The 24,507-nt window shown below is 43.6% G+C and overlaps 1 protein-coding gene across 6 annotated transcripts in view; it reads left to right on the top strand.

The window, feature by feature from the left end:
- The window catches only part of FBXL20 (F-box and leucine rich repeat protein 20), a 149,894-nt gene extending 128,562 nt beyond the window's left edge, over positions 1 to 21,332 (top strand). For all 6 annotated transcript variants that reach the window (XM_047436952.1, NM_001370209.3, NM_001370208.3 and 3 more), the window contains 5 exons: positions 3,139 to 3,199; positions 5,124 to 5,168; positions 8,542 to 8,598; positions 9,608 to 9,820; positions 12,428 to 21,332. In XM_047436952.1, the coding sequence (XP_047292908.1) occupies positions 3,139 to 3,199; positions 5,124 to 5,168; positions 8,542 to 8,598; positions 9,608 to 9,820; positions 12,428 to 12,535 (484 nt within the window). In that variant the 3' untranslated portion in view covers positions 12,536 to 21,332. The remainder of the gene's footprint in view (positions 1 to 3,138; positions 3,200 to 5,123; positions 5,169 to 8,541; positions 8,599 to 9,607; positions 9,821 to 12,427) is intronic.
- The last annotated feature ends 3,175 nt before the right edge of the window (positions 21,333 to 24,507 follow it).

Here is a 24,507-nt window from a genome sequence, read left to right as displayed (position 1 = left end):
GGCTAAAGTGAGAGGATCACTTGAGCCCAGGAGGTCAAGACAGCAGTGAGCTAAGATCACACCACTGCACTCTAGCCTGGGCAACAGAGTGAGACTCTTTCTCAATAACAGTAATAATTTGTTTAATCTCCATAGCACCATATAAGCACTATTATCGCCTTTTTTTTTTTTTTCTGAAACAGAGTCTTGCTCTGTCGCCCAGGCTGGAGTGCAGTGGCGCGATCTCGGCTCACTGCAACCTCCGTCTCCTGGGTTCAAGCGATTAACCTGCCTCAGCCTCCCTAGTAGCTGGGACTACAGGCGAGTGTCACCACACCCAGCTAATTTTTGTATTTTTAGTAGAGATGGGGTTTCATCATATTGGCCAGGATGGTCTCCTGACCTCATGATCTGCCCACCTCGGCCTCCCAAAGTGCTGGGTTTACAGGCGTGAGCCACCACACCCAGCCTTGTTACTGCCATTTTATAGATGAGAAAACTGAAGCACAAAGAGACAAAGTAACCTGCTCAAGGTCTCAGCTAGTTAGTGTAGGAACAAGTATTCACCCAGGAACTCTGATTCCTGAGCCTATGAAGCCACTTTTCTTACATATAATAATCATTGTAAAGCTATAAAACTTTCAGAAAATTGTTTCTGATGATTACCTGGCCTAACCATAATTGTTGAAAGAACTTTTGTGGCCAGGCGCAGTGGCTCACACCTGTAATCCCAACACTTTGGGAGGCTGAGGCGGGCGGATCATCTGAGGTCAGGAGTTTGAGACCAGCCTGGTCAACATGGTGAAACCTCGTCTCTGCTAAAAATACAAAAATTACAGGCGTGGTGGCCCACTCCTGTAATCCCAGCTACTCGAGAGGCTGAGACAAGAGAACTGTCTGAACCCAGGAGGTGGAAGTTGCACTCCCAGCCTGGGTGGCAGAGTGAGACTCCCTCTCAAAAAAACAAACAAACAAAAAAACCTTTTGCCTACAATATCAAAATTTCTTAAGAGAACATACACCTATTGGTCAAAATTAGTAATATCAGAAGCCTAAAATATTCCTCAAGAGCTGGGGAGGTAATCAAACTTCTCTCTGAATATCTTACACTTTATCCTTTTCGACTGTAGAGAGAGGAGTCTTCAGCTCCATCTCCCTATATGGTTCATTACATTGTTAGAATGGAAAAGCTCTCAACTGTGAAAATCAAAAGTTGTGTTCCAGTCAGATCGTGTTTTCCCATTAGGTAGCATTCATTTCTTTCTTTCTTTTTCTTTCTTTCTTTCTTTCTTTCTTTTTTTTTTTTTTTTTTTTGAGATAGAGTTTGGCTCTGTTGCCCAGGCTGGAGTGCAATGGCATGATCTTGGCTCACTGTAACCTCCTCCTCCCAGGTTCAAGCAATTTTCGTGCCTCAGCCTCCAGAGTAGGCAGGATTACAGGCATACGCTACCATGCCTGGCCAATTTTTTTGGTATTTTTGGTAGAGATTGGGTTTTACTGTGTTGGCCAGGGTGGTCTCAAACTCCTGGCCTCAGGTGATCTGCCCTCCCAAAGTTCTGGGATTACAGGCATGAGTCAACGCACCTGGCCATCTCTTGGAATTAAAAAAAAAATTTTTTTTTTTTTTTTTTGAGACAAAGTCTCGCTCTGTTGCCAGGCTGGAGCGCAGTGGCGTGACCTCAGCTCACTGCAAACTCCGCCTCCTGGGTTCAAGTGATTGTCCTGCCTCAACCTCTCAGATAGCTGGGACTACACGTGCCCACCACCATGCCTGACTAATTTTTTGTAATTTTAGTAGAGACGGGGTTTCACCATGTTGGCCAGGCTGGTCTCGATCTCCTGACCTCGTGATCCGCCTGCCTCGGCCTCCCAAAGTGCAGGGATTACAGGCGTGAGTCACCGCGCCCGGACAGAATTTAAAAATTTTTTTATACTGGTGAAGTCTTGGTATGTTGCCCAGGCTGGTCTTGAACTCCTGAGCTCAAGTGATCCTCCTGCCTCAGCCTCCTGAAGTGCTGGGATTATAGGTGTGAGCCACCGCACCCCGCCATCCATTTCTCATTGATTTTCAGTTGATAATTGTTTCCTATACTTTAACTTCAATTTTTTTCAACTTCAGTAGTAAGAATTTTATAAACAAACATGTTCTTTGTTACCATTTTACAGAGGTCACCCAACTTTTCACAGAAGAGAGCTACTTTTGATTCCCCAATCCTGTGGTTGGTATTTAGATTGGAGTTTAACAGTTGCTTAATAAGAGGTGAATGGCTGCCAGCTCAGCTTCCCTCTCAACTGGGCCTCCATGGGAGCCTGTGGGAGAAAGCAGGAAGCTTTCACAAGTCTAGAATTTCATATTTGGGATAGACCTGTAATTAAGCAATCCCCCCCACCTTTTTTTTTTTTTTTTTTTTTTTTTTTGAGTCGGAGCCTTGCTCTGTCACCCAGGCTGGAGTGCAGTGGCGGGATCTCGGCTCACTGCAACCTCCGCCTCCCGGGTTCAAGCGATTCTCCTGCCTCAGCCTCCCGAGTAGCCGGGACTACAGGCACCCGCCACCACGCCAGACTAATTTTTGCATTTTTGGTAGAAATGGGGTTTCACCGTGTTGGCCAGGCTGGTCTCGAACTCCTGACCTCAGGTGATCCGCCCACCTCGGCCTCCCAAAGTGTTGGGATTATAGGCATGAGCCACCATGCCCGGCCTGTCACATTTTTTTTAAAGCAATTTAAATCTAAGTGAACCTACTTCTAAAACAGGAAAGAAAATAATTCATTTCAGCAAGAGATTAACTGAAATAGAGTATCTCCGTTTCCTTTGTTTTCTAGGAGCAGGCTGCCCTCTGGGGGTAAGCAGTATGCCATCAAGAAGGCTTTTAATGCATTTCATGCGTTTTGGCATTAACTACAAGCTTCAATTATATTCTTCTGTGTTCATTGATTGCATCACCCTGAAATGTGGTATTTATAGGACCACTTTATGATGACTCCATGAAAATGAATGGCAAGATCTGTATACAGACTTGCTTAGTTGTTAATGTCATTCTATATTATAAAGTCCTTAGAGAATAGAAGATTGTTTTTGTAAATTCTTACTGTTTTAATAAACTCAGTTTTCAGGGACCAAGAGCTTGACTTTCACTGTTTTTTTTTTTTTTTTAACAGAATATTGGAAGTGGCAAGATGTTCTCAATTAACAGATGTGGGCTTTACCACTCTAGCCAGGGTAAGTATTTTCTTTAGGTTCCATAGGTTTGTTTCCATAGGTTTTATTAGGGCTTTTTATTTCAGAAGAACAAGCAGCAAGGGAAATGTGAAATGGTAGCAGAATTGGGTGAGTGAGACGGGGTTTCATGCTATAGCTACAGACCTACTGATATCAATAAGAATACAAACTGCTCCTAGAAATGCACACATGCATTGGAGAATATAAAACCCCTTCATGATACTTTTTAAACAATTTTTTTTAAATTTTTTTGAGATGGGGTCTCGCTCTGTCACCCAGGCTGGAGTGCAGTGACACGATCTCGGCTCACTGCAACCTCCACCTCCCAGGTTCAAGCATTTCTCCTGCCTCAGCCTCCCGAGTAGCTGGGATTACAAGCATGTGCCACCACATCCAGCTAAGTTTTGTATTTTTAGTAGAGACAGGGTTTCACCATGTTGGCCAGGCTGGTCTTCAACTCCCAACCTCAAGTCATCCGCTCACCTTGGCCTCCCAAAGTGATGAGATTACAGACGTGAGCCACTGCACCCACCCATGAGACTTGATTCTTCACAATTTCATAAGCTAATAGATTAAGCAGGTGCTTCTTGGTACTTTGTGAAAAAACTTATTGGTTATTTGGTACATGACTAGTGGATGAAAGTAACATTGAAGGAAACACATGTCTGGTTCTAAATGGAAAGGTTTTAGGAGATTTTCTGTATTCTCCTGAGTATTTTAATACTTGGACGGGTTTATAAATTACTATATGATAATATTTAAAATTATACTGACTTTGACCAGTGTTATGGTACAAGGGGATGGTCGTTTGCTTTTAGGCAGATCGATAGAATATTAATTAGGTGGGAGCCAGCACATGGCATGACTAAAGGAGGCCATAGCCTGGGTGCAGTGGCTCATGCCTGTAATCCCAGCATTTTGGAAGGCCAAGGAAAGCAGATCGCTTGAGCCCAGCCCGGGCAACATGGCGAAATTTCATCTCTGTAAGAAATACAAAAGGCCGGGCGCGGTGGCTCATGCCTGTAATCCCAGCACTTGGGGAGGCCAAGGGGGGTGGATCACCTGAGGTCAGGAGTTCGAGATCAGCCTGACCCACATGGAGAAACCCTGACTTTACTAAAAACACAAAATTAGCCGGTGATGGTGGCGCATGCCTGTAATCCCAGCTACTTGGGAGGCTGAGGCAGGAGAATCGCTTGAATCCGGGAGGCGGAGGTTGCAGTGAGCTGAGATCGTGCCATTGCACTCCAGTCTGGGCAACGAGCGAAACTCTGTCTCAAAAAAAAAAAAAAAAAAGAGGAAAGGCCGGGCGCGATGGCTCACGCCTGTAATCCCAGCATTTTGGGAGGCCGAGGCGGGCGGATCACGAGGTCAGGAGATCGAGACCATCCTGGCTAACATGGTGAAACCCCGTCTCTACTAAAAATGCAAAAAATTAGCCAGGCGTGGTGGCGGGCGCCTGTAGTCCCAGCTACTCAGGAGGCTGAGGCAGGAGAATGGCGTGAACCCGGGAGGTAGAGCTTGCCGTGAGCCGAGATCATGCCACTGCATTCCAGCCTAGGTGACAAGAGCCAGACTCCATCTCAAAAAGAAAAAAAAAAGAAAAGAAATACAAAAATTAGCCAGGTGTGGTGGCACATTCCTATAGTCCCAGCTAATTGGGAGGCTGAGGTGGGAGAATCACCTGAGCCCAGGGAGTTGGAGGCTGCAGTGAGCCATGATTTCACCACTGCACTCCAACCTGGGTGACAGAGTGAGACCTTGTCTCAAAAGAAAGAAAAAAAAATTAGCATGACACTAGCTCTGAAACACCAAAGAATTTATCAACGTATTTAATATTACCTCTTAGTTTTCTGTCCTTAAAAGTTTCTCATGTTTTAAATGTTTGTACTGTAATGTTTGTGTTTGTTTTTGTACTTTGTAGAATTGCCATGAACTTGAAAAGATGGACCTGGAAGAGTGTGTTCAGGTAAGATTGTAGATTTTAATTCAGAAATACAGTATAGTAGACACTTAGATAATACACAACATCAGAATGTGCAATTCCCTACCCTAGTGTAGGATACTGTAGTGCCTGACAGCATTGCAGATTCCCCATTAAGTAAGGTATCTTCCAGGCAGAGGTGCTCATGGTATGTGTTGCAGAACTGTGGAAATATATGCCATCAATCAGGTTGCCATTAGAGAGAAAGGAGGCCCAAGCATTCAGGCTGTAAAGCTGTTAAAAATATTTCCTTAGACCTGTAGAGTTATGATGCTAGTAAATAATTAAAGCCCCATCACACTGATCTATATAGCACTGCCTTTCTTTAGCTTTGCTGTATCCTAGATCCCTGGCATCGTTAGCCCTGGAGACCTGACTCTGCATGGAACTCTGCCTTTAAGCCAAACTGATCTCCTGATTAACAGTTTTTATTTTTTAATTATTATTATTATTTTTTTGAGATGGAATTTCACTGTTGTTGCCCAGGCTGGAGTGCAGTGGCGAGATCTCAGCTCACTGCAACCTCCACCTCCCAGATTCAAGCAATTCTCCTGCCTTGGCCTCTGAAGTAGCTGGGATTACAGGCATGCGCCACCACACCCGGCTGATTTTTTGTATTCTTAGTAGAGATGGGATTTCACTGTGTTGGCCAGGCTGGTTTTGAACTCCTGACCTCAGGTGATCCACTTGGCTCGCCCTCCCAAAGTGCTGGGATTACAGACGTGAGCCACATTAACACAATTTTAAGAACTTTGAGATTATTAATTGACCAAGGAAAAACTTCGAACATGGGACTCCACAAAAGAAAGAGCAATTAATTTTTTAATGGTAAAAATAAAGAAGGCGAGATATGTCAGTAACTGTAAAAGCCACTTTCTAAAAAATTTTTTGTTTTATAGGCACTACTTAACAGCTGTTAGTTCTTACTAAACTAAAACTTGTTCGCATCCGTTTATCTCTTATACATGCCTGAGTGTCCTCTATGTCCCTTCCAGTGTTATTCCTTCTGAACGGACATGCCTGCCTGCTCGCCCACCCCCTTTCTCTACCATTTTGTAGCCCCTGTGAAGCTATGTGTAGTAGAAAATAATAAACTCAGAGTTGGAGAAGAATTTGAAAAGAAGTGCTGATTTACTTTCAGTCCTAACATAACCATGAAAACTGTTCTTCCTACCTGAATATTCTTGGTTAACCCAGATTCCAGCAGTGCCTGGCTGCCACCCTTGGGAAAATAACCCAAGTTATCGATACTGAGTAGTGGCATGCTTTATTAAAAATTTTAGGATGTTCCAACATTAATTTTTTTCATAGAGCACTGCACTATCTTCTGATTCCTTTCTCTGATTATTCTAAGGAGACAGAACAAAGTCCAGCAAGCACTATCGTCTGATTCCTTTCTCTGATGATTCTAAGGAGATAGAACAAAGTCCAGCAAGTAGAGGTTCTGGGGGACAGATTTTTTTAGAGACAGGGTCTTGCTGTTATCGCTCAGACTGTTTTTTTTCTTGCTGTTACCGCTCAGACTGTTTTTTTTTGTTTTGTTTTGTGGTGTGGGGTGGGGAGGACAGAGTCTCACTCTGTTGCCCAGGCTGGAGTGCAGTGCTCAGTCTCGGCTCACTGCAACCTCCACTTCCCAGGTTCAAGCAATTCTCCTGCCTCAGCCTCCCAAGTAGCTGGGATTATAGGCGCCTGCCACCACGCCCGGCTAGTTTTTGTATTTTAGTAGAGACAGGGTTTCAACATGTTGTCCAGGCTGGTCTCGAACTCCTGACTTCAGGTGATCCACCAGCCTCAGCTTCCCAAAGTGCTGGGATTACAAGCGTGAACTACCATGTCTGGCCCTGCTCAGACTGGTCTTGAATTTCTAACCTCAAGCAATCCTCCTGCCTCAGCCTCCCAAGCATTGTTGGGACTATAGGCGCAAGCCACTACAACTAGCTACCAAGGGGACAGATTTTGATTCATTTAAAAAATAAAACAGATTTTGAATAGAGCTGTCTAAAGATGAAGACTAGAGATGACTAGATGTGTTCAAATGTAGCCTGAGTGGATTCTCATAGAACAGGTTCAGGTAGCCAATGGGATTTAAACCGAAAGATTCTGTTATTTGATGATTGATTATTAAAATGTCTGGACTAGAAATGTAGTCAAGAATAAGACATGGGGGCTGGGCATAGTAGGTCACTCCTGTAATCCCAGCACTTTAGAAGCCTGAGGCAGGTGGATCACCTGAGGCCAGGAGTTCGAGACCAGCCTGGCCAACATGGCAAACCCCCATCTCCACTAAAAATATTCCGAGCATGGTGGCTCATGCCTGTAATTCTAGCACTTTGGGAGGCTGAGGTAGGTGGATCACCTGAGGTCGGGAGTTTGAGATCTGCCTGGCCAACATGGTGTAACCCCATCTCTACTAAAAATTCAAAAATTAGCTGGACGTGGTAGCACATGCCTATAATCCCAGCTACTTGGGAGGCTGAGGCAGGAGAATCGCTTGAACCCAGGAGGTGGAGGTTGCAGTGAGCTGAGATCGTGCCACCACACTCCAGCCTGGGCAACAGAGCGAGACTATCTCCAAAAAAAAAAAAAAACAACAAACTAGCCTGTAATCCCAGCTACTCGGGAGGCTGAGGCACAAGAATCACTTGAACCTGGGAGGTGGAGGTTGCAGTGAGCTGAGATCATGCCACTGCACTCCACCCTGAGCAACAGAGACTCTGTCTCAAAAAAAAAAAAAAAAAAAAAAAAAGAATGAATGAGGTATGGGGCTGCTACATGCAGTGGTTCACACCTGTCATCTCAACACTCTGTGAGGCGAGGCAGGAGGATTGCTTGAGCCTGAAAGTTGAAGACCAGTCTGGGTAACATAACAAGACCCTGTTTCTGCCCAAGAAAAAGTTTTAAATTTCTTGGGCATGGTGGTGCACACCTGTTGTCCCAGCCATTCAGGAGGCTGAGGCTGGAAGATGGCTTGAGCCTGGGAGGTTGAGGCTGCAATGAGCTGTGATCGCACATGGTGGCCTGTAGAGCTTTGGGAGGTTGAGGTGGAGGATTGCTTGAGCTCAGGAATTCAAGAGCAGCCTGGGCAACATAGGGAAACCCTGTCTCTACAAAAAAAAAAAAAAAATTTTTTTAATTTAAAAAATTAGTCCTGGTGGCTTGTGCCTGTTGTCCCAGCTACTCAGGGGGCTGAGGTGGGAAGATTGCTTGAGCCCAGAAGTTTTAGGCTGCAGTGAGCTTATAGTTGCACCACTACACTCTAGCCTGGGCAACAGAGCAAGACTAAAAGAAAAAAGAATCAGGTATGACTCAGGATTTTATTTGGATTATACCTAAAATCAACATACGTTATTTCTTTCAGATAACAGATAGCACATTAATCCAACTTTCTATACACTGTCCTCGACTTCAAGTATTGGTGAGTTTAACTTTGAAAACTTTATGTGTTTACTGGGTTTAATCAAAAGCCAGTGCTACAGTTCAAGAACCCAGCTCTTAGTGTCTGGCTACCATTTTAGGAAAGGATGCTTCTTCAAACTGCCAGCTTACTGAGAACCAAAGGAGTACATGAGTGAAGTAGGAAACAGATAAGAACTGAAAAAGTTAAATGTTTTCTATATCAATGCTTGAAGACTGAAAACTGCCTTGGAACATATGAGTTCTCTTTTGTAGATAACTTATACTCCAACCTGAATGATGTTTAAATTTCTAGAGATCCAGGGGATCAGATTGCCCAAAATACAATTTGCTTCACCTTAAGATGTAATGTTACTGGTCGTAAGAATGGAACCAATCAAAGCTTTACTAAGGGGTGTTCTGCTCCTACTTTCAGTGACACTAGAGGAAGGCATTCTGAGTGACTGTTCTGTTGTATCCAGGCTCATTTTTGGTGTTTGGTGACACAGTACTATCTAAAATTGGGTCAAGATTTTCTGAGTTTCCCAGGATCAGGGATTTAATAAATATTGATGAAGAGATGATGAGATGATCACACCTGACAGCTGTAAAAATCTTCAGCTAATTAATTGTTGGGGCATGTCTCTGAACCAGATATTCAATATTTAGTTCAAATTCCAGAAAACTGCATGAAAAGCTTGATTCCCATTTATCCCTGTAGAGAAGGAAAAGTGTTAATTTGAGGAAGGGGTAATTTTTAAGGCTGTCTTATTTTGTTTATGAACTACTTCATAGTCATTACATGAATTTATAAAATATATTTAGAATCACACACCAAAATATCAATCACTGATTGCCAAAAGCATAACCCCACTATCTCTAGTTTTTTAAATTTCACCACGTGGATCTAGTGCCAGCTCCATATTCATCAAAATCAAACCAAAATGTCTCCTTTCCAATTCACACAAGCCTCTGGCTAGAGGAATGCCAGAAGATATTTCAACATCCTTCCTTGCTCTATTTGGCTGCAGAGTCTGTCTCACTGTGAGCTGATCACAGATGATGGAATTCGTCACCTGGGGAATGGGGCCTGCGCCCATGACCAGCTGGAGGTGATTGAGCTGGACAACTGCCCACTAATCACAGATGCATCCCTGGAGCACTTGAAGAGCTGTCATAGCCTTGAGCGGATAGAACTCTATGACTGCCAGCAAATCACACGGGCTGGAATCAAGAGACTCAGGGTAAAAATGGCTACATAACTCTCCAACTCTAGTGTTAGCAGCACTTTCTTCTCTCTTTTTTTTTCCTTTTTTCAAATTTAGGTTCCTATGATTTTTATATTTACTTGAACATTTAACAAGGGAAAGAGAAAAAAGTGCAAACCTAAGGACAGATAGTTTTTCCCTCTGGCTCCAGAGATGGAAATTTAGTAGGAAAAGACCCACTGAAGGGAAGAAAAGTAGGTCTCCTCCCAGCAGAGTCTGTCTAATAATGTCTAGGGCTTAATAACATTCCCAGATTGAAGAAAAAAAAAAAAAAAAGCACATGCCACATTTTTGTTCTAAAGGAAAGAAAGGAATAACAGAGAAAGTGTTTGGTTAAATGGGATTTAAGAATTTAATTTGTAATTGTGTTTCACATTGAGCCCTCTTCCTGGGATTCATATTTTTTAAGGCAACAAGTAAAGTAGACATAGACTTTTACCTTTTCTGTCTTTCTTTTAAGAGATGGGATCTCACTCTGTTGCCCAGGCAGGAGTGCAGTGGCACCTTGTTAGCACACTGCAGCCTCGAACTCCTAGGCTTAAGATCCTCCCACCTCAGCATCCCCAGTAGCTAGGACTACAGGCACACACCACCACACCTAGGTAATTTTATGAAAAACTTGTTTTTTTCATTTTTTAAGACAGGGTCTCCTCTGTCACCCAGGCTGGAGTGCAGTGGCTCGATGTTGGCTCACTGCAACCTCTGTCTCCCAGGCTCAAGGCTTCCTGCCACCCCAGCCTCCCAACAGCTGAGACTACAGGCGTGTGCCATCACGCCAGCCTGATTTTTTGTATTTTTGGTAGAGACGGCATTTTACCATGTTGCCCAGGCCGGTTTCAAACTCCTGAGCTCAAGCGATCTGCCTGCCTTGGCCTTCAGAAGTGCTGGGATTATAGGTGTGAGCCACCATGCCCGGCCTTAAAAAACTATTTTGTGGAGACAAGGTCTTGCTATGTTTCCCAGGCTAGTCTCAAATTCCTGGCCTCAAGCGATCCTCCCACCTCAGCCTCCCAAAGTGCTCGGATTACAGGTGTGAGTCACTGTGCCAGGCCCAGATTTTTACCTTTGCTTTTGGACCTATCCACCATAATAGAGAGACCCAGGTATAGCCAAATAACTAGAAAAAGAAGTTTTTTGTTCTTTTTTTTTGAGACAGAGTCTCGCTCTGTCACCCAGGCTGGAGCGCAGTGGCATGATCTTGGCTCACTGCAAGCTCTGCCTCCCAGGTTCACGCTATTCTCCTGACTCAGCCTCCCCAGTAGCTGGGACTACAGGTGCATGCCACCACGCCCGGCTAATTTTCTTTTTGTATTTTTAGTAGAGGCAGAGTTTCACCGTGTTAGCCAGGATGGTCTCGACCTCCTGACCTCGTGATCCGCCCGCTTCAGCCTCCCAAAGTGCTGGGATTACAGGCATGAGCCACTGCGCCCGGCCGAAAAAGAAGTTTTAAAAAGCTGGATGAATCTGTGTGTTAGATTGTTCTGCTCAACAGATGTTTATTGGAACATCTGCTTCACACCTGCTGTAGGAAAGGCAGTGTGCTTATTCAGGCCCTTAATACCAACCTCTAGGCCAGTCGCGGTGGCTCACGCCTGTAATCCCAGCACTTTGGGAAGCTGAGGCATGAGGATCACCTGAAGTCAGGAGTTCAAGACCAGCCTGGTCAACATGACGAAATGCCATCTCAACTAAAAATACAAAAATTAGCCGAGCATGGTGGCAGGTGCCTGTAATCCCAGCTGCTCAGGAGGCTGAGGCAGGAAAATCGCTTGAACCAGGAGGCGGAGGTTGCAGTGAGCCAAGATCACACCATTGCACTCCAGCCTGGGCAACAAGATGAAACTCTATCTCAAAAAAAATACCAACCTCTAAAAAATCCACGTTGGCCACATGGCCTTGAGCAAATAAAAGAGTACCAAACTTCATCTTGAGTTCGAGTTGGCCTCAGTTCCTCTTCCCCTCTTCAGACATAGAGGACTGTGAGCATAATTGCACTGGGGGTGGCCTTGCAGCCATTTTTTTTCTTCACCAAAGAGAATGAGAGCCACAGGTCAACCAGAGCCTCTTACGTGCCTACTTACATTAGGGTTCCTAGACTGCCTGGCTGCCAGGAGTCTCTTCCATCTCCCATCCTTGGGCGGACCACTTGAGGTCAGGAGTTCGAGACCAGTCTGGCCAACATGGTGAAACCCCGTCTCTACTAACAATACAAAAATTAGCCTTTGTATTTTTAGTAGAAACGGGGTTTCACCATGTTAGCCTGGATGGTCTCAATCTCCTGACCTCGTGATCCGCCCGTCTCGGCTTCCCAAAGTGCAGGGATTACAGGCGTGAGCCACCGCGCCCGGCCCTCAGTTTTATTATTACACAAACAGGTACCAAAGTCATATGAGTTGTTCTGGTCATTGAGAACAACCTAGGATGGAACAAAGTAGAACCCAGGCCCTCTAACATCCTGACCAGTGCTCAGCCTTTGCCCTGCTTTTATGTTCATTGAGCCCCTCGGTAGTTTTTCTAAGAACCAACATTGCTCTTTCTGTTTAAGCCCTCTCTTAAACGTTTAATGTTTCTGTCTTGTTTCAGACCCATTTACCCAATATTAAAGTCCACGCCTACTTCGCACCTGTCACTCCACCCCCATCAGTAGGGGGCAGCAGACAGCGCTTCTGCAGATGCTGCATCATCCTATGACAATGGAGGTGGTCAACCTTGGCGAACTGAGTATTTAATGACACTTCTAGAGCTACCGTGGAGTCTCTCCAGTGGAAGCAACCCCAGTGTTCTGAGCAAGGGTTACAAAGTGAGGGAGGGCAGTGTCCAGATCCCCAGAGCCACACATACATACACATACACACCCTTACCCCCATCCACTCTAGCTTTGTGACCATGGGACTGAAGTTTGTGATGGCTTTTTTATCAAGTAGATTGGTAAAATTTAACCATTCCTGTTGAGGTGCCCATAAGAAAATCATAGGCCAAGATAGGGAGGGGCATTCCAGCAAACCCCGTGTTAATGCTACTGTGGTTTTTAAATTTTTGTCTAGGGGTTTCTTTGGGGATTTTAGAACAGCATCTGCTGTCCTCCGGGGTCAAGAAAAGCATGGAAAGACAATATATGATGTACCCAGGGACCAGAAAGAAAATTTCTTTGCATCTTAGAAATGGTAGACATTCATTGTGACTAAAGAGCTTCTATGCTTCCTTGTTTCCATGCCAACATGCTGAGCATGCTCACAAAGAAGGCTCGTCCATTCCTCCTGTGTTTTAGTATTTGGCCCAGAGGTTTCCTAAATGGTTGCCTTGAAATCACTGTGGTCCAAATGTAATTCTTACACACTCAAATTATCACTGTCTGTAGCACACTTGTGCACCTGTCTTACATTCTCTGTTGCTCCCCCCCACACTCTTGCTCAGTCTGTCACCTGTTCAGTCTGCTTACTCACTCAATTGTTACCCTTTTGCTGTTGTCGTGTTTACAGTTTGCATTTTGAATGATTAGTTGGGATTACCAAACATTTTTTAAAAAGATATTATCAATAAATATTTTTTTAATTCTAAATTTTACCATTAGGGGACCCTGCCTGAATCTTTGCCAACCTGCAAGGAAACTCTAATGAAAGCAAGAAAAGTTATGAGAAGAAACTGTTTTGATGAAAACAGATGCTACCTTTTGGTTTCTATTTTATCTTCTGATATGTGATAATTCGCATGGTATCCCCAATATTCCCCCTACATATTCTTCCTTCTGTCAGACTCCACCAACTGTATCATAAGGAAAGAGAGAGATGTATTATTAGGAAAGAGTGAAAATGATAAATCACAAAACAGAGCCTGAAAGTCCCCAACACCCAAGTTCAGACATTAATGATTAATGTTATTATATATTTACTGAAATCTAGGAGTGATCAGTGGCATCTCTGACCTATGAGGTTGTTTTAACAGGAATGCCACTAGAGGAGCTGTGTATTCTAGCCAGTCTGTTTCTCTCTTTTCCCCCATTTCAGCCTTTCAGGGATACAAGAATGGCTCTATAACAGCTGGTCAATTGTATGTCAGTGTTAATGGATTCATATCTAGTGTTGGCACCCCAAAGGGCCAGAACCTTCCCATAACCTGTCAGTCATCTCTCTTTTCTGCCCCAGTCTTTTTTTTTTTTTTTTTTTTTTTTTAAGACGGGTTCTCACTCTTGCCCAGACTGGAGTGCAGTGGTGCGATCTCGGCTCACCGCAACCTCCACTTCCCAGGCTCAAGCGATTCTCTTGCCTCAGCCTACCGAGTAGCTGGGATTACAGGCATGCACCACTACTGCCTGGCTAATTTTTGTATTTTTAGTAGAGATGGGGTTTCACATGTTGGCCAGCCTGGTCTTGAACTCCTGACCTCAAATGATCCACCTGCCTCAGCCTCCCAAAGTGCTGGGACTACAGGCATGAGCCACCATGCCCGGCCCTGTTCAGACTTCTGAATGAAGTATGAATGTAGCCAGGTGAAGCATTGAGGCAGCTGAAAGAGAACACTGAGAGGAAGTAAGGGGTTTAGTGTCTCTGCTTAGCCTGGGCACTAGAACTGAGGGAGGAATTTAGTGTCCAGGACTCAAGAGTCCAAGAAGAAGCACCCTCTGTCTTCCCAAAAAATCAGAGGATAAAGGAAGTAAAATGAGTTTTTAAAGCATAAGAAGAAAATTTCTAAACCCCAAGATTAGAAACCCAGTGTGATTTTTAGTAGGGTGATTTTGGCGGGGGGTGTCCTTTGAGACATTAATGTGCAATCCATCATAATATTAATCTTCTATATGATCCAGACTATTAAAAGGCTTGTTTTATTTATTTATTTTATTTTATTTTATTTTTTTAGAGATGGGGTCTCGCTATCTTGCCCAGCCTGGACTCAAACTCCTGGGCTCAAGCCTTCCTCCCACCTCAGCCTCCCAAGTAGCTGGGACTACAGGTGTGTGCCACTGTACCCAGCTTAAGAGGTTTGTTTTAATGCTGCAGTTGCTGATTATACCAGCATATATAAGAATAAAGTCTGATTTATTTATCCATTGATTTAGAAGGCAATTGGATGAAAGGGTCTTAGAAGTCTATACTATCCATTAATATTTATCATATTAAATTTATTTTAAATCCTGTTTTATTGTGCCGCTTTAAAAACGCAGATTACTTGTTTATTCATTCCCCTTTCCCCTTATTCTCTTTCAGATTACCTTATAAGGAATATAGTTTTTAACATGAAACTCAGTTTCTTGTCTGTACCCCTACACATAAAAATACATACGTGCATACACACATACTTCCAGATGTGGTTAATAATATTCAGATCCCTAGGTTACTCAAACAAAACTAAAGGAGAGAACTATTTAGGGGCCATCTGCTTTAAAGTTTAAGGTGTTTTGTTGTTGTTTTAGTGCCTGTACAAATTGACCATAAAACCCAGATTGATTAGTGAGTGTGGATTTGAGTTGCCTAAGTTGAGGCTATTAAGGTACTTCTTTACTTAAAAGATAAGTTTAAAAGACTCTATTCATCAGTTCATGATGATCTTGGAAATGCTGTTTCTCTGCTCAAAGGATATACCCACAGGCAGGTCCATGGGGACTTGCTCTGGTGATCTCTGCTATTAAGGCAAATTCCAGCCTGTTTGTGCCAAGAACAGAGTCAAGTGAGAGAGAATGAAGACTCAGAGATGTGCAGCACTGGCTTGTATGTTGTCAGGCAGAAGCCTTGTTCCTTTCTCAAGAAAACTTCAGGCCTATCAAGCTTGGAAGGAAATACATTTTTTTATGCTGATTTGCAGCCTACACCAGCTGATGAATATGCTAGGACTTTGAGAGAACACAAAGCATGGTAAGTTTTGGTCAGGTGGAAAGGAGCCTGACATCTGAACATAATGCTTCCTCTCTCAACATCTGGGATACTTTTGAAAATTCAGTAAGGCTTAATGTAGGAAAAATTCTTTACAGGAAAAGCTAATTGATCTGTTTGTCTAACCTCATAGCCACTCCAAAATATGCCTTTTATAATGGAAAAAAACAGTGAACAGAGAGAAGAGATTTGGGGATAAGTTAGAAGGTACCCTCAAAACTACTGCCGTAAACCTACAGGTGGGCAAGGAGGAATTACTGTAGTGTCTCTGGAGAAAGTTCTTGAACATCCAAATCATCTCTTTTCTAAGCAGTTTTTCCCCTAATCTCATACCTTACATCTTCCAGCATCATTTGCTACATCAATGTCTTTTCATCCTCTTCATCAGCCCCATTGAGCTGACTCCAGCTTATTTTTGCACTGATTTCCACCATTTCCTTCCCACACCCATCCTTTCCCTCTATTTAAAGCCTCCATCTCACCCTCAGTAATGCTGCTGATTTACTCTCAGATGTCTCAAGTCTAGCTTCCTTTTTGAATCCTTCTCCTACTCCAGGGGCTGTCAAAGGCAGCCTTAAAGTTCAGTGACTGTTAGGTGGCTCAGGCCATTTTTCATTGGGTGGTCTTTGGTGTTTGCATACTGAATTTGAATTCAGTTTAAAAGCAAACTGTTGGATATGAGGAAGAAAGGGATATGGCCTTAGCCCTTTTTCCAATATTTGGAATATGAAAGCATATTGTGCTTTGTGTAAAAAATGTTTTCTTCTCCTATTCTGCTCTTGTCTTTACTGAAGGTAAAAGTATTCCTTAAGTAGCTTTTGCAAATTTCTAGTCTGATTTCCACATTCATTAAGTTGATTTAGCAGACATGTAAGTCAGAAGTTTCACATATCCCTTGTATCAAACATTTTATAGGGAAACCTAGTAAATTTATGATGCTTCATTTTGGGCTTTCCAGACTATTTGAGTTATTCAAGATAGCCATAATGTTTTAGTAGCGACATTCTTTTATTACTTCTAATTGCCTTGTAAAATGCATTGTTATGGCCCGGCACGGTGGGTGGATCACAAGGTCAGGAGTTCAAGAACAGCCTGGCCAAGATGGTGAAATGCTGTCTCTACTGAAAATACAAAAATTAGCCAGGTGTGGTGGCAGGTGCCTGTAATCCCAGCTACTCGGGAGGCTGAGGCAGAGAATTGCTTGAACCCGGGAGGTGGAGGTTGCAGTGAGCTGAGATCGCACCACTGCACTCCACCCTGGGCGACAGAGTGAGACTATCTCAAAAAAAAAGAAAGAAAGAAAGAAAAAAATGCATCGTTACTAGTTTGATAGCCCACTAATGCCATGGGGGACTAAACAAAATATGTGATGAAACCTGTCTTGGTTTGAAGTTGTTAGAAAGTGTGAGAGTGTCACTGGAAAGAAGAGAGTGGCTTCCTGCCTGCTTGTTTAGTCAGCATGTCCTTAGGTGACTGTGTTGTTGGGAGAAGAGCACTCATGGGTCATGGGTGACCCTTGGCCATTTTATGTTTATTGTGCTGAAAGTCACAGGCGGCTCATGCCAGTTGCTACCAGTGAGAGGAGGGGTTTAAAGGAAATTGCTCTATTTTGCCTTATTCCTCCTTATGTGTATGATTTAAGGGTAGGCTTTTATCCTGGTTGTATCTCCTGGCTGACAGACTTTCTCAATCATATGTTTGAGCTCTGAAGCATTTTACAAAAAGATTGCCTCTCTATCTGCCTGCCAATCCTAGAATCTTTAGCCACCTCAAACCCAGGCACTGTGAATTAGCCAAGTCCTGTTTGAGAAGAAATGTAGGATGTTTGGTTGGAATTCTTGAGACAGAACCTCTCTCCCCATTAATGATGTTGTACCAAAGAATTCTAAAGCAGTAAAAGGATAATGGGGAAAAATGGAGTCACAGCCTTTCCTCGCCTATATTTCTTTTTTTTTTTTTTTTTTTTGACATGGAGTCTCGCTCTGTCACCCAGGTTGGAGTGCCATGGCACAATCTCAGTTCACTGCAACCTCTGCCTCCTGGGTTCAAGTGATTCTTCTGTTTCAGCCTCCCAAGAGGCCAGGATTACAGGTGCCCACCACCACGCCCAGCTAATGTTTGTATTTTTCATAGAGATGGGGTTTTGCCATGTTGGCCAGGCTAGTCTCGAACTTCTGACCTCAAGTGGTCCACCTGCCTTGGCCTCCCAAAGTGCTGGGATTACAGGTGTAAGCCACCGCACCTGGCCAGTTTCTATCATAAATTTTAAATGTAAGATTGGAAGATACAGAGAGCTGTATAAAATCATACCAGTAGGGTATAATTAGCCCAGGTAGTTTAGGAATAAAATTGGGTTGTATCCGAGTGCCCTAACTTGACATTTTGATTCTCCAGCAAAGAACATAGGTTACTAGGTTACTAACCTTGCCTTCTCACTTGGGATAAACTTTTTTTTTTTTTCTTGTTGCCCAGGCTGGAGTGCAATAGTGAGATCTCGGCTCACCGCAACCTCCGCCTCTTGGGTTCAAGCGATTCTCCTCCCTTAGCCTCCCGAGTAGCTGGAATTACAGCCTGTGCCACCACGCCCGGCAAAATTTGTATTTTTAGTAGAGACGGGGTTTCACCATGTTGGTCAGGCTGGTTTCAAACTCCCAACCTCAGGTGATCTGCCCACCTCAGCCTCCCAACATGCTAGGATTACAGGCGTGAGCCACTGCGCCCAGCCCAGGATAAACATTCTACCTGCCTGAAAGTACCATAAGAGGCAAGTGAGTTTCTTGCATGATGGGCTTCTGCAGCTTCCCCCTCAAGTCACATCTACCTGTTGTATTTATTTATTTATTTATTTTTGAGACAGAGTCTCGCTCTGTTTCCCAGGCTGGAGTGCAGTGGCGTGATCTCGGCTCACTGCAAGCTCCACCTCCCAGGTTCACGCCATTCTCCTGCCTCAGCCTCCCAAGTAGCTGGGACTACAGGCTCCCGCCACCACGCCCGGCTAATTTTTTGTATTTTTAGTAGAGACGGGGTTTCACCCTGTTAGCCAGGATGGTCTCGATCTCCTGACCTCATGATCCACCCGCCTCGGCCTCCCAAAGTGCTGGGATTACAGGCGTGAGCCACCGCGCCCGGCCCGTTGTATCTATTTTTTTTAGACGCATCAATTCAGTGTCTCTGAAGCCTTTGATCGTTAGGAAGGTCAGTACATAACCTCTTAGGTGAAGCTGAGTTGATCTTTGGAGCCCAAGAGAGTTAATTTTCAGGAGAAAAAGAATTAGGGCAAGCTCCCCTGTGGGATGTTAAGAGAAAGTCCATATGCGCTTCTTCCATCTCTGCCTCTTGTTTTTAAATAAGTGCTTGTGAAGTTCAGTTTATAGAGGTTGAGTCTCAGTGCTTCCTCAGCCAGGGTGGTTTATTGCTGTTTTACAAAGAACCATGAACAAGCAAAATCCTATCAATAGTCCTTTCTGTTTTATGTTTTATAGTCTTATTTTGAAGAATCGGCATGGTAAAATGATAGACAAGTTTCAAATAAAGCAGATAATTAGCTCTAGAATTGGGGTACTTTGCCTCAGGTACAGCATCTGTCTTGAATACATAGTGATGGCTGTGTCACACATGGGTACATTTACTTTCCTCTCTGATCAACTGCACCCCTTTTTACTGGCAAAGAGGGCTCCTACTTTCTACACACTTAACCAGTCAAACAGATAGGTTTTGGCACCACCGAAAGAACCACAAGTGCACCCCAGCTGCATCTGGGCATGGTTTTGGTACTAGGACTAGAGAAGTGAGCAGTAAATGACAGTCCTTACCCTAGGAAGAGATGGGAGAAGAGAGGTGTCCAGACATATTTACCTTTTCTCTTCTGTCATGCCCCAAGAACCAAGGATCATCTTTGAAGTGACGTCTTTTTTGTTAAATTGGAAGAAGAAAACTTTGCAGCCAGGCGTGGTGGCTCACGCCTGTAATCCCAGCACTTTGGGAGGCCGAGGCGGGCGGATCACAAAGTGTCAGGAGTTTGAGAACAGCCTGGCCAACATGGTGAAACCCCATCTCTACTGAAAATACAAAATCCCAGCTACTTGGGAGGCTGAGGCAAGAGAATCACTTGAACCTGGGAGGCGGATGTTGCAGTGAGCCGAGATCACGCCACTGCACTCCAGCCTGGGCAACGGAGTGAGACTCCATCTCACAAAAAAGAGAAAAGAAAAGAAAACTTTGCTTCACTAAGTTTCTCTTGCCATTATCTCATTAATTCAGATCTGTACCTCATTGCTGCTCACACATATATGTTTCTTACCTTAGCCTGAACCTTCTCAGGCCTTGAAGTCATTATTCTACTCTTTTTTTTTCTTTTCCTTTTTTATGGCACTAGAGAATGAAAACCTAAGGTCTTAGAAAATCTTAACTTGAAAAAGTCTCTAACTGGCATGATTTGATTACTTTTTTCCCCTGTGGACAAATAATTTTCTTTCCTATATAATAGATTTTTAGTAAGTGAAACCTTTGCTGCTGCTTTCCTGGGTTTACATTAGTTTTTTCCTGCCCTTAAGAATAATTTATCTGTGCTTCTCTGATGACTGTTAATTTCTAATAGTGCAGGAAGGGATGAGCTTTTGATTTCTTCTCACTCCCCTCCTCACCCTACTTCCAAATTACACACTAACTTCTAACCCTTACAGCCTGTTGGCACATACACAAGATCCACGAGACCATGCTCCTCAGAAGCTACCCATGTCCTTTCTCACCATGGTGTGGCTCTTGGAGCCCTGAGTATCTGTGACTACCCACTCCAAAGGTTGACTGTAAGAGGAGAGCGGCCTTCTTAATTTTGCATTTCTTAATTTTGTTTTTCTCCATTCCTGTTTTATGACTTGGCCTTCAGATGCTTCCTACTCTGGCCTCCTCCTTTTTTCTCCTAGGAATTGTTTCCAGGTAACCTACCATGTGCACTTCTCAGCTGCTCTGCTCACCTTTGCCCACCTTCCCGTGACCCTGAGAGTACAGATCCGAATAATGTGGCCTGTGCAGAGCTCAGAGAACTGTGAGGACTACCCATGCCTGTCAGACTCTGCTCAGGGACAGAGATGGATGGGTAAATGGTGCTGTTGGAGACATTTTTATCTTCATACCAGGCTCTGTTTCATCCCTGCACCCCGCACCCCCACTCACTCCCCTGAGGGGGTAAAATGCAGAGGTGGTTGACCTGAAGGGTCTGATTCCCTCCTTCCCAAGCCTTAGGGCCTACCCTGGAGTGCTGCAGTGTGTGAGAGCTGCTGCTTGCTTGTTTCTCCACTAGGCCTGCTCCAAATGCTTAGCCAATCTCTGGAGCCGACACAGTTGCCTACGGGGTGACTTAGCACCAGGTTCCATTAGCTCTCCAAGTGACTGTTTCCACCCAGTACTTTTGGCGCTTGAGGATGGGGGGAGGGGGATTATTTAAAATAAATAAAATCCGAGGTGGCAGTAGAGGATTCCTTTTGCTTTAAAAATCTTTGGACTAAAAAAAAAAAAAAAAAGTTTTTTATATATAAATATATAAAGTAAATTGTTATGTAACTATTATTGTTTCTTGTATGTTCTAATTTTGTTTTATGATGTAATTAAAGAAAGTAAGCTGTGAAGACTTTTCATTTTCCTGTGGAAATAGCCTGACTTTGAGCAGTGATTCTTAACTTCCTTGAACCCTAGAACTACTCGTGAGGCTGAATGAAGGGACTTCCTTTTGGCATCCTTATATTTTTGAATACTTTTTAATAGCCTTTATTTAATACTCATTTACTCATTTAATAACCTCCGTTTAATACTTTTTTAACAGCCATTATTTAATACCCTGAGCTTCACTTGTCCTCGAGAAACATGGAAGACATAATGTAAATGAGTTGCCTTAGTTAATTTGATGGATAAAATTCAAGCCAAGTCCCTTCTCTCTGCAGAGCATTCATTGCCCTTACCTTGACTATGAAGGAGTGAAGATGGAGTAGTGTAATGGTTAAACACACAAGCTCGAAAGTCAGATTGCCTGAGGTCAAACCTATACCATTTATCTTGTATGACCTCAGCCAATTAACCCCCCTTTCTCAGTTCTCCATTGGTAAGATGGGGATAACAGTATCTACTTTATAGAGTTGTAAAGATTAAATGAGATAATGGTACATAGTAAACACTCATGTGTTGGCTGCTTTTATTCCCTTTATCTCAACTAATATTTCAATACCTAGTCTTGTGCTAGAGGCCTCTAGGGCTTAAAGATACACAAACATAAATGCAACAGGGTCCCTATTGTTTTGGTAGAGATGAGCAGTAGAGCCAACTCAGCAAACTAAATTTAAATCTCTATCTACCTTGCCATGAAGCACCCTTGGGGAGCCCTGTGGAATCAAAGGCCCCACTTTACATCTGTTTATTCTGCATAAAGACCTGGTCTAGATAAGTCCCAACACAGTCCCTTCCAGGGATGCAAGCAGTGTCTGCTCAGTTGTCCATATTAACTTTTAAGTAAATATTAAACAGACTTCCCTTTACCCCATCCATTGGTTATCATCTCAGAGCCTTCTTCCTTCCCACCCTCCCTAGCAGAGGCTACCTGGTTCAAGTCTCATCAAAGATGATTAGTAAATAATACCGTAGGTAAATTATCAGCAAATAATTATGCAAGGTTTTTGTGTTTTGTTTTGTTGTTGTTGTTTTTGAAATGGAATCTCTCTCTTGTGGCCCAGGCTGGAGTGCAGTGGCACAATCTCAGCTCACTGTAACCCCACCTCCTGGGTTCAACCAGTTCTCCTGCCTCAGCCTCCCGAGTAGCTGGGATTACAGGCGTGTGCCACCAGGCCCAGCTATGTTTTTTGGTTGTTGTTGTTGTTGTTGTTGTTGTTTTTGACAGTCTTGCTCTGTCACCAGGCTGGAGTGCAGTGGCGTGATCTTGGCTCACTGCAACCTCTGCCTCCCGGGTTCAAGCCATTCTCCTGCCTCAGCTTCCCAAGTAGCAGGGATTACAGGTGCCCACCACCACGACCAGCTCATTTTTGTACTTTTAGTAGAGACAGGGTTTCACCGTGTTAGCCAGGATGGTCTTGATCTGCTGACCTCGTGATCCGCCCACCTCGGCCTCCCAAAGTGCTGGGATTACAGGCGTGAGCCGCCGTGCCCGGCCTGGCTATGGTTTTTTTGTATTTTTAGTAGAGATGGGATTTCACCATATTGGCCAGGCGGTCTTGACTCTTGACCTCAAGTGATCTGCCTGACTCAGCCTCCCAAAGTGCTGAAGATTACAGGCGTGAGCCACCAAGCCCGGGCTTATGCAAGAATTTTTAAGAGGGCACTTGTCTCTTAAAAATGACTTGTCTTCCACTTTGTGCATTTGGAAATCATCAAATATACTTTTCTGTATATTTGAAGATTTTCGTAATAAAACTTTAAGGGAGGGAGAATGGAAAAAAACAGTTAAGATATGACCTGATACCATTTGTCTTTTAAGAAAGCGTTTACTGTTTAATATAAAAGTGGTTTTCTGGGCCTGGTGCGGTAACTGAGATCGTGCCACTTCACCACTTCACTCCAGCCTGGGCAAAAGAGCGAAACTCCATCTCAGGAAAAAAAAAAAAAAAAAAAAGTGGTTTTCTGTATGGAAAAAGAGGACTAGATTCCTACCTGCAAGATACACAAAAATCAATTTCAGTTGGTTACTGACCTAAACGTGAAAAGCAAAACTGAGTCAAACCTTTTTTTTTTTCTTTTGGAGACCAACCCCGGGGCTCACTGCAACCTCTGCCTCCCGGGTTCAAGAGATTCTCCTGCCTCAGCCTCTCAAATAGCTGGGATTACAGGCACACACCACCATGCCCAGCTAATTTTGTATATTTTATAGAGACAGGGTTTCACCATGTTAGCTAGGCTGATCTCGAACTCCCGACCACTGGTGATCCGCCCACCTCAGCCTCCCAAAGTGCTGGAACTACAGGTGTAAGCCACCACGCCCGGCCAAAAAAGAGCCTCTTTTCTTTATAAATTAAAAAAAAAAAAAAGTAGGCCAGGCACGGTGGCTCACGCCTGTAACCCCAGCACTTTGGGAGGCTGAGGCAGGCGGATCACGATGTCAGGAGTTTGAGACCAGCCTGGCCAACGTGATGAAACTCATCTCTACCAAAAATGCAAAAATTAGCTGGGCGTGGTGGTGCAAGCATGTAATCCCAGCTATGCGGGAAGCTGAGGCAGGAGAATTGCTTGAATCCTAGAGGTGGAGGTTGCAGTGAGCCCAGATTGATTGCACCATTGCACTCTACCTCTGGGCATCAGAGCAAGACTCCCATCTCAAAAAAAAAAAAAAAATTAAATTTATGACTTTAGGGAAAGATTAATAAAATTTAAGGTAAAAAAAAAAAAAAAGTCAAGCACAGTGGTGCACACCTATAATCCCAGCTACTGAGAGTTTAGATGGAAGGATCACTTGACACCAAGAGTTCAAGACCAGTCTGGACAACAGAGACCTCATCTCTTAAAACTAAGGAAACAATATGTCTAAATTTTTTTTTCTAAAAGCCCCATAGCCTCAATTCTAGATAATAGCTATAGTATTTCCTAAATCTCTTAGAACTGAGTTTTTTAGTAGGTACAGTGATTTGAATATTGAATGGTCTTTTGGAGGCTTTAGTAATTAGTTTTGCCCAAACTAATTGTGAAAAAAAGATCCAGCTGGATTGATTTATTCCCTTGTTCCAGACCCCATCCTTTGCCCTAGTTTATAGTTTAAGCAGAAGACATTTCCCCTTGGGGACAATAAAGCCAAGAAAACTGAACACC

This window comes from Homo sapiens, chromosome 17, assembly GCF_000001405.40.
Source record: "Homo sapiens chromosome 17, GRCh38.p14 Primary Assembly".
Taxonomy (NCBI): domain Eukaryota; kingdom Metazoa; phylum Chordata; class Mammalia; order Primates; family Hominidae; genus Homo; species Homo sapiens.
The sequence above is the reverse complement of the archived record's forward strand: the minus strand, read 5'-3'. Positions and strand labels throughout refer to the sequence as shown.